Here is a 14,672-nt window from a genome sequence, read left to right as displayed (position 1 = left end):
CTAAACGTTTACTTTGTAAAAATATTTGATAGTGCCTTTTTCTTCACAACATCAAATACAATTATTATTTTTATGTTTGCCCATTAATGGAAAAACTTCATCTCTTAGTTTAATTTGAATAATTTTTTTCTTTAATTTGCATAACTCTGGTTGCTTAATTTGCATAATTCTGATAGTGGTGATGCTTGTCATTTCATATTTTTATTGACCTTTGAAATTTCCTGGTTTATGTACAATCATGTGCCACATAACAACCTTTAATTCAATGATAGACCACATATGTGACAGTGGTCCTATTAGATTATAAAACCATATTTTTTACTGTACCTTTCCTGTGTTTAGATATGTTTAGATACACGAATACTTCCCATTGTGTTACAGTTGTCTACACTATCACATGCTCAAAGGTTCATAGCCTAAGAGCAATAGGCTATGCCATATAGCCTAGGTGTCTAGTAGGCTATTCCATCTAGGCTTGTGTACACTCTTAGGTTGCTTGTACAATGATGCAATCACCTAACAATACATTTCTTAGAACGTATCTCTGTCATTAAGGGACACACGACTGTATTTCCTGTTGGGTCTTTGACCTATTGTCATAATGTTTATCTTATACTTATTTATCGGAATTTTTGTGTTTTATTTTTCTCTTCCCTTAAGTTTGGTTTGGACTTTTCTGCTGATCTAAAGTTTTATGTTTTCCACATAGTTAAGTTTATCTAGAAAGTTCTTTCTCTCCTTCAGATTATAAAAACATTAATCCATCTTTTTAATATATATAATTGTAATTTATAATTTGTTTGGAATTTATTCTGATTTTACCTGTAAAGTAGGGATCTAACTTTGAATAGACTAATTTTCCCCAATGAGGTATAATGCAATATTTTATCAAATACTAAAATTCTATATTAGTACATAGGTCTCTTTCTAGACTTTTGAGTAATCCCTTTGGTTTTGTACCAGTATTAAGTCATTTAGGCTACTGTATTTGTTATTTGTTGAAATAAGTCTTTCTTTTATCAGCTATTTGTTTCACTTTTAAACACAAATGTAAAGGTGTTAAGCCTAAAGTAAAAGGGATTCTTTTACTAAAGTTGTTTCTATCATTGAAGTGAGAAAAATGTAACCAGAGGGTGATGTGGAACTTTCCCCATGAAAAGCATTGTAGTTGAAATGCTAAAAGTTGTGCTTAAAGGGAGTTTAAGTGGCTTTAGTTGTCTTAAAAAAAAAAAAAAAAGACAACAGTGAAGTATCCCACATCAGTTGACACTTCCTTTCATGAAAAATTTCTCTGTAGTGTGTAATGCTGTTTGATAACATTTTACCCACAGTAGAGCTTCTTTCAAAAGTGGAACCGATCCTCTCAAATTTTGCTGCTGCTTTATCAACTAAGTTTATGTAATGTTCTAATTTACTTCTGGTCATTTTAACAATGTTTCGTGCCATCACAAGATGGTAACAATTCAGTCATATCTTCAGGATCCACTTCTAGTTCTCTTGCTACTTCAAATCTATTTGCAATTACTTCCTCCCCTGAACTTTTGAATCCCTCAAAATCATCCATGGAGGCTGGAATCAACATCTTCCAAACTCCTGTTAATGTTGATATTTATACCTCTGCCCATGAATCATGACTGTTCTTAGTGACATCTAGAATAATTAGTCCTTTCCAGAAGGTTTTCAATTTACTTTTACCATGTCTAACAGAGCAATCACTATTGATGGCAGCTATAGCCTTACAAAATGACAATTTTTTTTTTGACAGAGCAAGACTCTCTCTCCCAGGCTGGAATGCAGTGATGAGATGATCTCAGCTCACTGCAACCTCAGCCTACTGGGTTCAAGCAATTCTCCAGCATCAGCCTCCTAAGTAGCTGGTACTACAGGTGTGCACCACCATGCCTGGCTAATTTTTGTATTTTTAGTAGAGATGGGATTTCACCATGTTGGCCAGGCTGGTCTCAAACTCCTGACCTCAAGAGATTCACCCACCTCGGCCTCCCAAAGTTCTGGGATTACAGGCGTGAGCCATCACGCCCGGCCTAAATGTATTTCTAAAATAACAAAACTTGAAAGTCAAAATTATTCCTTGATCCATGAGTTGCAGAATGAATGTTGTGTTAGCAGGCATAAAAACATTAATCTTCTTGTTCATTTCCATCATAGCTCTTAGGTGACTAGGTACATTGTCAATGAGTAGTAATAATTTGAAAGGAATCTTGTTTGCTGTGCACTAGGTCTCAACAATGGGCTTAAAACATTCAGTATCTTTGTTGTAAACAGCAGTGCTGTCATCCAGTCTTTGACATTTCATTTATAGGCCACAGGGAGAATAGATATAGCATAATTCTTAATGGCCCTATGATTTTCAGAATGGTAAATGGACATTTGCTTCAATGTATAGTTACCAGCTGCGTTAGCCTCTAACAGGAGTCATTCCGTCCTTAAAAGCCTTGGAGCCAGGCATTGATTTCTCCTCTCTAGCTATGAAAGTCCTAGATGGCATCTTCTTCCAATACAAACCTGAATGTCTACATTGTAAATATGCTATTTGAAATGCGGCCACCTTCATCAAAATAATCTTAGCTACATCTACTAGATAACTTGCTGCAGCTTCTACATCCTCATCACTGCTTTACCTTGCTCCTTTATGTTATGAAGATGGTGTCTTTTCATAAACCTCATGAACCAACCTCTGCTAGCTTCAAACTTTTCTCTGTGACTTCTTCACCTCTCTCAGCCTTCATAAAATTGAAGACAGTTAGAACCTTGCTCTGAATTAGGCTTTCACTTAACAGAATGTTGTGGCTAATTTGATTTTTTATCCAGACCACTAAAACTTTTTCCATATCAGCAATAAGGCTGTTTCACTTTCTTATCATTCATATGTGCTCTGGAGTAGCATTTTTAATTTCCTCTAAGAACGTTTCCTTTGATTCACAACGTGGCTAATTGCTGGTGCAAGAAACCTCACCTTTGGCCTACTCAGCTTTTGACGTGCCTTCTTCACTAAGCTTAATAATTACTAGTTTTTTATTGAAAGTGAGAGACCTGTGACTGTTTCCCTTGTCAGAAAATTTAGAGGCCATTGTAGGGTCATTAACTGACATAATGTCAACATTGTTGTGTCTCAGGAAATAATGAAACTCAGGGATATAAAGAGATTTAAAGGAAAGGCAAGTCCGTGGAGCAGTCAAAACCCACAGAACATTTATGTATTCAGTTTGCTGTCTTCTATAGACATATTTGACAGTGTCCCAAAACAATTAAAACAGTAGCATCAAAGATTGCTGATCACAAATCACCATAAGAGATATAATAATAATGAAAGAGTTTTAAATATTGGGAGAATTACCAAAATGTGACACAGAGACATGAAGTGATCACATGCTGTTGGAAAATGGTGCTAACAGACTTGCTCGAGGCGGGGTTGATACAAACCTTCAATATGTAAAAACGTGCAATATCTGCAAAGTGCAACAAAGAAAAGCACAATAACATGAGATGTGCCTATAATTGCATATCCTGTATCATCTGTAACTGAGCTAAATATTGTTGGCACCGGGAGAAATGTGGCCTATAATATATAGTTTCCTATTTGCAAAAAAAAAAAAGTATGTTTAAACATGAATTAATATAAAGTTCCAAATAGCAAATAGTAGAAGTCTTAAAGTGGAAGTAGAAATGATTTCAGTGTTTCTGCCTGCAGGTCAAAAACACAAACCAATACATTTCCCAATTGTTTTTTTCAAGCTTGAATATAATTATTCTTATTTTACCTGAGGATCCACATCCTGATGTAGGCTGCTTCATTAAGATACTAGAACTCTAATAACAGAAAGATTTTCTGAAAGCAGATTCAGCACTCCATGACTGCATACTGACAGATGACTTTAGCGTTGCACTTCACAGTCATGATTGTGGTGGTTTGTCTCTTACTCAGAGTTTAATGGTCCAAATTTAGATATTATTATTCATGTGCACCCGCTACACAGAAGACATAATAAACTACCGTCTTCATCTTGTATTATTATATTCCATCAGTTTATGATGAATCACCAATTAGATGAATTTAAGTAGTTTTCAAATGTTATTAGCCATATCAGAGGTAACTTCTGTAAGTTTTTATGTGATTACTTTATTCTGTTTATACCATAGCATATCTATTTAGAGAATTCAAATATTAATGAGCTAAAAATGAGGGCTTTTTTTTCAAAAAAAGAAAGAACAATAGAATTGAGAAAATAAGAAAATAGGTAATAGGGTATATGAAGAAAATCAATATATATAAAATGTATTATTAAGAAAGGTAAAACAAACTAAATCACAATGTACCTAGATCTTGGAGCTACCTCTAATTTTGTTTCACAGGATATGGGTAACTGGAAAAGGGAGTCAAATCAGGTTGTTCTGTTGACATACAGTGGAATGAGATTATCCTATGTATGGTTAAACTTGTATATACTGTGCATTTTAGAAGATTAGAAGAATAAACCTCTAGTACAAGCTGGTTATCCTCCTTCCAAGTAGGAGCAGTGTGACAAGAAAAGAAGTTCAAGCTTGTTTTGTATAAACACCAAAGTCTTTGCATATAAAGAGGCATGATTACACTTTTAATCAATGACTCAATTGATCAAAAGCCATACAAATACACAGATCCTTTTAGAAGTGTGTCAAAGGTAATTTTAAATGAATTTATCTATTTTTACAAAACATTTTTATTTATAGTAGGAAACTTTGTAGATACAAATAAGTCAGTACATCTTTGAGGTAAAAGTAAAATTTAGCCCTTACATTCTAGAATTCTGAATATGTGTAAAGTCTGTTCTGATCTTATTATGCCCCCTGTGTCATTCTTCTTTTTATAAAGTCTTGGGATCAGAAAGCTCAGCCCTAGGTCCTAGGGTAGAAAGCTCATCACCTAGGTCCTACGGTGATGGTCACAGGTAGAATAGGTTTCTTCTTTAGGTACAAAAGATATTGCATAATGTGTGATTGTATTTTGATTTATGAGACTCCAAATTACTTGCTACTAGAGATTGTCAAGAATGAAAATTATTAACTCTGTTACACAAGGACAAGAACAGAAATCAGTATATCAAAAAATATCAGCACTCTGAAGTTTATTGAAGCACTATCCACAGTAGTTAAGATTTGGAAGCAATCTAAGTGTCCATGAACGGATGAATGAATAAAGAAAATTTGCCACATATACACAATGGGATACTATTCAGCAATTAAAAAATAAGAGAACCTGTCATTTGCAACAACATAAATGGAACTGAAGGACATTATGTTAAGTGAAGTAAGCCAGGTACATGAAAAATAGAAAAAAAGAAAACTTCAAATATTTGCATTCATTTATGGGAGCTAATAATTAAAACAACTGAGCTCATGGGGACAGAGTAGAAAGATGGTTAGCAGAGGCTGAGAAAGGTAGTGTTGGGAGTGGTGGTGGGGGCTTGGGGTTGGGGGCACGGTAAGTGGGGATGTACAAAAATACAGTTAGAATGAATATGATGTAGTATTAGATAGCACAACAGAGTGATTACAGTCAATAATAATTTATTGCACATTAAAAAATAACTAAAATATGGCAGTTGTGGTGGCTCATGCCTGTAATCCCAGCACTTTGGGAGGCCAAGGCAGGTGGATCACCTGAGGTCAGGAGTTCGAGATAAGCCTGGCCAATATGATGAAACCCCCTTCTCCACTAAAAATACAAAAATTAGCTGGGTGTGGTGGTGTGCACCTGTAATCCCAGCTACTCAGGAGACTGAGGCAGGAGAATCACTTGAACCCAGGAGGCGGAGGTTGCAGTGAGCCAAGATCACACTATAGCACTCCAACCTGGGCGACAGAGTAAAAAATAAAAATAACTAAAAGAGTATAATTTGAATGCTTGTAACACAAAGAAATGATAATTAAGGTGATGGGCATCCCATTTAACCTTATGTGATTATTACACATTCTATGTCTCTGTCAAAATATCTCATGTGCCGCATAAATATAAACACTATGTACCCATACAAATTCAAAATAAAACAATTTTTTTTTTTTTGAGACAGAGTCTCATTCTGTCGCCCAGGCTGGAGTGCAATGGCATGATCTCGGCTCACTGCAACCTCGGCCTCCCAGGTTAAAGCAATTCTCCTGCCTCAGCCTCCTGAGTATCTGGGACTATAGATGTTGTGCTACCACGCCTGGCTAATTTTCATATTTTTAGTAGAGACAGGGTTTCACCATACTGGCCAGGATGGTCTTGAACTCCTGACCTCATGATCCACCCACCTCAATCTCCCAAAGTGCTGGGATTACAGGTGTGAGCCACCATGCCCGGCAAAACATTTTTTTAAAAGAAATAACACATTTGGGTTTTGTATGATTTGAGATTTGGTTCCTGTATTTCTCAATTATATTTTCTGGTTTACTTAAAATATTAATCCAGTAAAGCATGAGTTTTATTTCATGATAGTTCCTTGAATATTGTCAATTTGTGTATTATGTGTCTATCAAATGTTATTTAATAAAACATTCAATAACTGAGACAATTTTTTCCCAGTCTTTCTTTATAAGTGTAGACTTAACTCTGCAGCAGAACTAACTTGGATATTTAAAGTCTTATATCCCCAAATTAAATAGACTTGTTAGCAGGTATTGATTGAGCACAAGGTCTACATGGTTAAATAGACTAGTATCAATTTTAAGAAACCACAATAAGTATCATATAGTTTAGAAGTAAGGGTTCAGTAATCAAAAATTCAAAAGCTACTGACTGGCTGGGCACAGTGGCTCATGCCTATAATCCCAGCACTTTGAGAGGCTGGGGTGGGAGGATCATGAGGTCAAGAGGTCAAGACCATCCTGGCCAACATGGTGAAACCCCGTCTCTCCTAAAAAAAAATACAAAAAAAAAAAAATTAGCTAGGCGTGGTGGGCGTGCTCCCAAAGTCCCAGCTACTTGGGAGGCTGAGGCAGGAGAATCACTTGAACACAGGAGGCAGAGGTTGCAGTGAGCCAAGATCGTGCCACTGCACTCCAGCCTGGTGACAGAGTGAGAGACTGTCAAAAAAAAAAAAAAAAAAAAAAAAAAAAGCTACAGATTAATTTGGACCTGGGACCTTGTTAATGTATTTGAAGGGTTTGTCTAATTGATAGTCAATCTTCTATTTATTCATTAAATCATTAACTCTCAAAACATTTATGAAAACGACTACTTTGTGGAAAACATATAGTAAAGTGAGATGTAAAGAGCTTGAAAAATCTTAAAATCTGGAACTATAATTCTGGAGACAAAGATAACAAGAATTGCTCAAAAATTCCTGCAAATTGCAAAAATGAGAATTATATTACTTAGCTTTCCTGAAGTGAAAAACCACCCCAACATCTCAATAGCTTACAAAAACAAATATTTATCTGATATTATGTGTTAGAAACGGAAGTCATCTGCTGGATCTCTGTTCTACATGTTGCCTTGTTTCATCGCCGAGGCTGAAGGAGCAATCCCCTTTGGGTAGTCCATGGTCAAAGCAGAGGGAAAGAACAAAAGTACTGAAACAACCTAGCAATGCCCATTAACTCCTCTGCTGAGCTGTAACATAAATCATATCCATTCACATTCCATTGTCCAAACTGGGTTACAGAGCCAAAGCCAAAAATCAAAAGAACAGGGATAAAAGCTCTGCCTACAGAACACATGGAAGTCACTTCATGATGAGTGTGAAAACCCTTACAAGAAAAGATAAGGACTGTTGGGAATAACTAAAGAAATCTACCACAGAAGGATTCTGTGTTTTCCTACCATAGCAGGATTGAGATGTCTCCTCATCAATAGTAACTGTTCATGCTTCCTTTTCATTTCAAGAATTAGGCAATTCCATATTTGTATTATGTTGGCAACTTATATAGAATAAAATCATTGTTAGTTCTGAAAATATAGAAACTGATTTACAGGGAAATTTTTGTAAACTTTATAGTAATGCAGAGAAATATTTTGTGAACTTTATAGTTATTTTTTCCAGTATAAAAGACTGATTAAAGTAAATGAAATTGCTACCAAACTAAAATGTGTTAATTATAAATGTTTGATCCATAAAATTGTATGGCAATTATGAATCCAGGAGACAACAGAGGAGCTAAAATAAGCTCCCTCAAAGAAATATAAAAGTATAGAAAAACATGATAAAATATTTATCATAAAACATATCTCTTATATGTTTTTAGAAGAAGAGAAACAACTAAAATGTATGCTTTTAAGTAGTAGAAAAATGCATAATTCTGCCAAGAATTACAGAAACAATATTCAGCTGGTAAAGGCAAATAAGAAAGAAAAAATATGCTACACATTTAACAAGTCTGTTGTTTTGAACATTATGGTCTTCCTGCTGTTATATTTGCTAAAGGGCATATAACTATTATTAAGTGGGAGCCAAAAAATCACAGAATAGACCAAATGGAGCATATTACTGTGAGTAAATATTTGAGAACATTGAATTTAATATTAGCTTCTGTTGAACAAGAACAGACTTCAGTGTAAGTTATGGATCTGACCACATGGTTATCATAAAAGTTTTAGTTATCTCTTCTGACATCCTAGGGAGAAAATAGAAGGGAAATGCAGAAATAAAAAAAAAATACTTCATGCAAGCTAAGAAATTATTTCTTTAAAATTCATCCACCCATGGAAAAATACTATCATTATATTTTTACCAAATATCCACATAGGAAAATTGTATACATTTATTCCCATATATTTTATGTAATAACAGAGACTAAGAATAAATGCTATCCAAGCCCACTCAAAAAGTAAGACACATTTATTATTCAAAACATTTCCTGAAAGTATAATAAACTTGCCAGATATTTCTTGAGAATGACTGACATACACAGAGCTACTCATAAAATAATCAGAAAAACTATGTAAGGAATAATTCCAGGTGATATTCCACCAAAAAACAGATGGGATGGCTGGTTGGCATGTGATCAAAGGGATATTCATCACATGAAAAAGCCAAGAACCAGAAGATGAGAATCAGGTAGTATTGAGAGAGGAAAGTCTTGAATAGTGGAAGGTGAAGAAGAAAATCCATGATATAGTAATGTGTAGAGAGTGGACATGATGTTCTTTGTATGAGACAAGATTACAAAAGGATAGAAACTATGACTAGGCATGCCTACTGGTAAAGAGCAAAGAGGGCAAACATAAAAAGAGAATTCCAGAGAGTCCAGAAAAGACCTAGAGATAAAGATAAAGAACTATCTCAAGAATTGCCTATGCTCCAGTTCCATGGTCAGAACATCTGTGTGTTAAAAAAAAAAAAAAGAAAGAAATCAAGAAAGCCCTTCCTCCCAGGAAACTTCCATGGATCTCATCCTTACAACCATGAATTCAATTAATATGTATATTTAATATTTTAACTTTTTTTTTTTTTTTTTTTTTGGAGACAGGATCTCACTCTGTCACCTATGCTGGAGTGCAGCGGTGCAATCTTGGCTCACTGCAACCTCCACCTCCTGGGCTCAGGTGATCCTCCCACCTCAGCCCCCCAAGTAGCTTCGACTACAGGTTCAATCCACCATAACAAGCGAACTTTGCATTTTTTTCTCTTTTTTTTTTTTTTTTTTTTGGAGAGATGGTGTTTCACCATGTTGCCCAGGATGGTCTCAAACTCCTGAATTCAAGCAATCCACCCACCTCAGCCTCCCAAAATGCTAGGATTATAGGCAAGAGCCACTGTGCTCAGCTCTTAATATTTTGACTTTTTAAAAATTTTTGATTGCTGCTAATTATCCTGTTGAATTAATATGTGATTTTCAATTTCAAAAAAAGTACAACAGCAAACAAAATTTACAAACTATATTTGGTAATTATACTGTTCATTGTGTGCAAACCCATTGCCAGGAAGAAATATATATTGCTTATTGTGGTGTTGATGATGTATAGTGAAACTGCATTATTACAAAGTGTGGGATAAAGCAAATGGTATAGTGTTACTAACAACCAGGATTACCAGCATGAGAGAAAGGACATGCAAATGCAAGTTCAATAAGATTATGTGTAAGTCCTGTAATTCTAAATTTGAATTGAATGGATCAGTATGAACTTATGCTGTAGCATGCTAGCTCTGTTTACTCAAAAGGTCAAGAATCAGGAGACACAGGACAATCTACTGAAAGAGAATTAAGAGACATATAAACTAATTTAAATGGACTCTGAGTCAAACTTACTCTTAAAAGAATATTTGAGAAATATGAATCCTGATGGAATATTTGATGATATTAAAAATTATGACTATTTTTGTGTGATAATAGTATTGTGATTTTTGTTTAGAGATTCACAGTAAAATATTTACAGATAAATGGTACAATGCCAGGATTTGTTTCCAAAGCCCACTCAAAAAATATGACAAAGTCCTAGCAGGAAGAATAGGTGAGAGGTCCAGGCACAGTGGCTCACGCCTGTAATCCCAGCACTTTGGGAGGCCGAGGCGGATGGACCACCTGAAGTCAGGAGTTCGAGACCAGCCTGGCTAACATAGTGAAACCCAATTTCTACTAAAAATACAAAAAATTAGCTGGGCGTGGAGGTGGTGCGCCTGTAATCCCAGCTACTCAGGAAGCTGAGTCAGGAGACTCACTTGAACCTGGGAGGCGGAGGTTGCAGTGAGCCAAGATCGTGCCATTGCATTCCAGCCTGGGCAACAAGAGCAAAACTCCATCTCACCCCTACCCCCCAAAGAAGGTGAGAGTTCAGAAGAAATATTATTGGCTATGAATTGTTAACTGTTGAGATAGGTGATGCATACATAAAGATTTATTGTACTCTAATTTTACATAAATCTTTGATACCAGAGACAAAGCCATAGGGAACTTCTCATGGGCTAGGCACTGCGCTCCACACTGGATAATGCATTCATGTCCAAAACATGGACCTACCTATTCAAAACATTAACTCCCTTTATTGGTTGTAGGCTTAGGTTCATGCAGATCTCCCTCTGACCACGCCACTTCATCCCTGTCACAAAGTGGCCCTATGCAAAGTGACTGACAATTAGTATTGACTCCCTAAATGTTTTCCAGATGAATTAAATAAGGAAAAAATAATTTAATTGTTTTAAAAAATATTTTATCAAATTAATATTCCTTTATAAATTACTAAATTGGCAATTTGTTTAATAAATGTACACATTATGAGTTCAGCTATAAAGAGTCTGATTCTGTACCACTGAAACAAAACACACTAATTACTTCATTGGTTTCTCTAGATCCTCTCTAATTTTGTTTAATTTAAAATATAATATCATCTACTTTGCACATTATGCTCTAAAAAATACAAAATGTAATGTGTTATTGAAAGTAATATTTCAAGTTGGCATTCCAGATAGAGAATCAAAAACGTACAGGGCATTTCATGATATAGAATCCTTTCTCTCTTGGAACTTAACTACTAGTCTGCTTAAAAAGAAAATGAGTAAGTTTGTATGCATGTATGATGCACGCATGGATGTAGTTATTGTTTACCTCAGGTCAGCCCATTAATACATCACAATAATATTTCTACACTGCCCTAATAATACATATGTGAAAAATACACTGAAAGCCTCTCATAAATAACAGAAATGCTAATATCTTTTAAAGACTGTTTATTAGAAATGCACCATTACCTAAACTTGCCTCGAACACTATACTTTGATGGAAGTAGTGTGCACTATTTAATACTTTTCCTAAAGATATTATCTGCCATTTGTCACTTATATTGTGGATACAGGTTAACTTTACAGTGGCTAGGTTAATTTTGTGACATTGAGAGATATACTAATGGCCTTCTCTATCTCTTTATAAATCTTGATTTTTAAGAAACATCAAAGAAGACATATCAGAGAAAAAAAACTTAGAATTAATAGTAATAGCTGGAAAAATTAAAACTTACTATTTGATGTCTTTAAACTTAGCTCAGATCCACAACTTTATGATAAATATCTCCAAAATTTGGTGGAAATGCAATGAATAATAGAAAATAATTAATCTTTCCACAAAGGACAGGTAACCAGAGATTAATAACCTGAATTATGGATCTTCTGTATCAGAAAGAGAAAGACTTAATAAAATTTTAAAGATATTAACTCAGTAACTCATGTTAAAAATCTTTCTAGACTAAATATGAGAATTAACTCTTCATATAATATCATACAGTTGAGAGCATGTTAGGTGAAATCATTAATGTTCTTTTCTTGTTGGATAACTAGTAACATTTATTATGGGAAATCTCTCTGAATGCCAATCTCAGAAACGCTCATGTGCTAATAAATCGAGCAATAACCAGATATTGAGAAGAATTCTTTTAACTACTAAATTATGATGTAATTAAATAGTACCACACCAATATTTTTATGTAAAGTACTAAAATTTAAAAATCTAGTGTGTATTTCCCATCATGAAAATTAGTCTTTTCTAGGCCTAATTTTATATATTTATAGAAGAGTTTTTGTACCTCAAAAAAATTAGAGTAACTTTGCATTTTGAACTGAAGACAAGGAGCTACTGCACTATGCTATTTAAAACAAAGTTGAACATATAATCAAACAATAAATCAAAGTATAATTATTTAAAGACTTAATACTAATAGCTGTTTTGCCATTGACTATAACATTCATAATTTCTGCAGAATTATTCAGTTCTTGTAAATTCTTACAATAATGTATACTTTCTGAAAAGGTCATGTGTATCCTGGAATCCATGGAGTTAAATTATGTCAATACTTTACCAAAATGTGCTGAGACATCAAGGAGACTGGAAAGTATAATCAATACAATAGACTAAAGATCCAAATCCATGGGCTACAGTTAGAGTCTCATTTGTGACAGCACTGTCTTCATCCAAAGTCATATAAACCTCAAACTAAAAGTAATGTTCCCTAAATTGAAAATGAAAAAGGGTTGTTTCTGAACTGAAAAAGTACTCCTGATACAGAAATAAATATAGTAATAAGATCTTGATCAAAGAATAGGTACACATATCTAAATTAATGTGTTCAATAAAATCACTGACTCTTTAATCAAAGAAAATGATGCAAATATCTTTCAAGACTTGTTCACCAAAAGCTCTAACTGGAGATATTTTATTGAGCACTATTTGACATACACTGCTATGTGCCATATTTATGTAGCTTTACTTCATTAGAGACAGACAGAAGGAAAAGGGGAGAAAACAGAGGACACTACAGTAGAAACAGCTGCCTTCTCCTTGTGTTTCAGTTATTCCTTGACAAGCCAGTTTAGTTACTGAATCAGCTGTTTCAACAGTTTTTTCCTTAGCTGTTGTTGGCATCTTCATATTTTATGTCTTCTTTTCCCTGTATTTTTGTCTCACACACACACACACACACACACACACACACACAAAATATCTCCATCCTATGCTTCAATCAATCTAGATTACTTCTACTTCCAATTCAATTTAACAAAAATTTATTATGAATTAATCTGCTAGACGTAAACTATAGGTCTTTTCTTCAATGATTTTATAGACTTGTAACTCAAAAGCATTACGCTAGAAATATGGGGTCCAGATGACAGTATTTTATCTACCCTGTTTTTTTGTTTCTTTGTTTGTTTTGTTTTTGTTTTTTGTTTTTTGAGGAAATGACTCACGAATGAAAATTTGTAAGAGAGTTTCTTGTGGACAAAAAAGAAAAAGAAAATGAGGCAAATGAAGATCCCTTGGGAGCCTAAGCCAGCAATCCAGGATGGATACAATGAGGGTCTGAAACTGAGCTTGGATTGTTTGTTTAAAATGTTAAGGGTAACAGGCTTTTTCAGGAGTTCACCCTGTATTCAAGGAGTGGTACATGTACATAAATACAACATGAGACAAAATAGTAAGAGGTAGAGCAGAGGGAGAACATGGCAAAGCAAGTAATTCTGCTTTTTGAAGAGAAACAGGATGAGCTTTTATTACTAGTAGTTTCACAAAGACAGTTATATTTGAGCTAGGTCTTAGAGAATCAGATTTTACCTACTTAGAAAAAACAAAAAAAGGAGGAAGATGAGGAAAATGTATTCACGGCTCTGCATACTTGTAAAGTTTCCACTCTAGATGCCATCTCAATCTATATGCTCTCTGTGAGCAATCACATAAACTCAGATAGCCTTAGCCCCTACAAGCCTTACAACCATACTTCCTGCATTAATTAGCATTAAACTGTGAGTAGTAGAAAGGGTAATATAAAAAGCAAAATATTTTGGACTTTAAATAAAATATGTTTCTTTCTTATACATATATAAACTAGTAAGGTGGCTGTGCTCAAAAAAAGTCTTCCAATATCTGGACTCAGAGATCCTACATTGTGTGTGTGTATGTGTGTGAGGAAAGAGCAAGGAATAGAAGGGTAAATGAAACAGACCATCAATAACTTAAGTGAGCTTTCAGCCCCATACTCCTACTCACATGGCCACATGGCTTCAAGGTAATCTTCACTCTCAGACACTACAGGCTCAGCTAAAATATCTACTACTACCAAAAAGGGGAAGAATTGTTTCTGGAAAACAACTACAATCTTTGCCATAATCTCAAGATCGTTTTCTGGGCCACCAGTCTAGAATTTTCAAGGCATTCTATCTCTCTGACCTTATCTTCCCTAGATTCCTTCTCTGCAGCCACACTTGACCCCTTGC

General features: G+C 34.7%; 1 protein-coding gene across 8 annotated transcripts in view; it reads right to left on the bottom strand.

The window, feature by feature from the left end:
• The window catches only part of CCSER1 (coiled-coil serine rich protein 1), a 1,477,902-nt gene that overhangs the window by 228,539 nt on the left and 1,234,691 nt on the right, over positions 1–14,672 (bottom strand). The gene's annotated exons all lie outside the window — the stretch shown is intronic.

Source organism: Homo sapiens, chromosome 4 (assembly GCF_000001405.40).
Source record: "Homo sapiens chromosome 4, GRCh38.p14 Primary Assembly".
Taxonomy (NCBI): Eukaryota; Metazoa; Chordata; class Mammalia; order Primates; family Hominidae; genus Homo; species Homo sapiens.
Note: the sequence above shows the minus strand (reverse complement) of the source record. Positions and strands in the feature narration are given on the sequence as shown.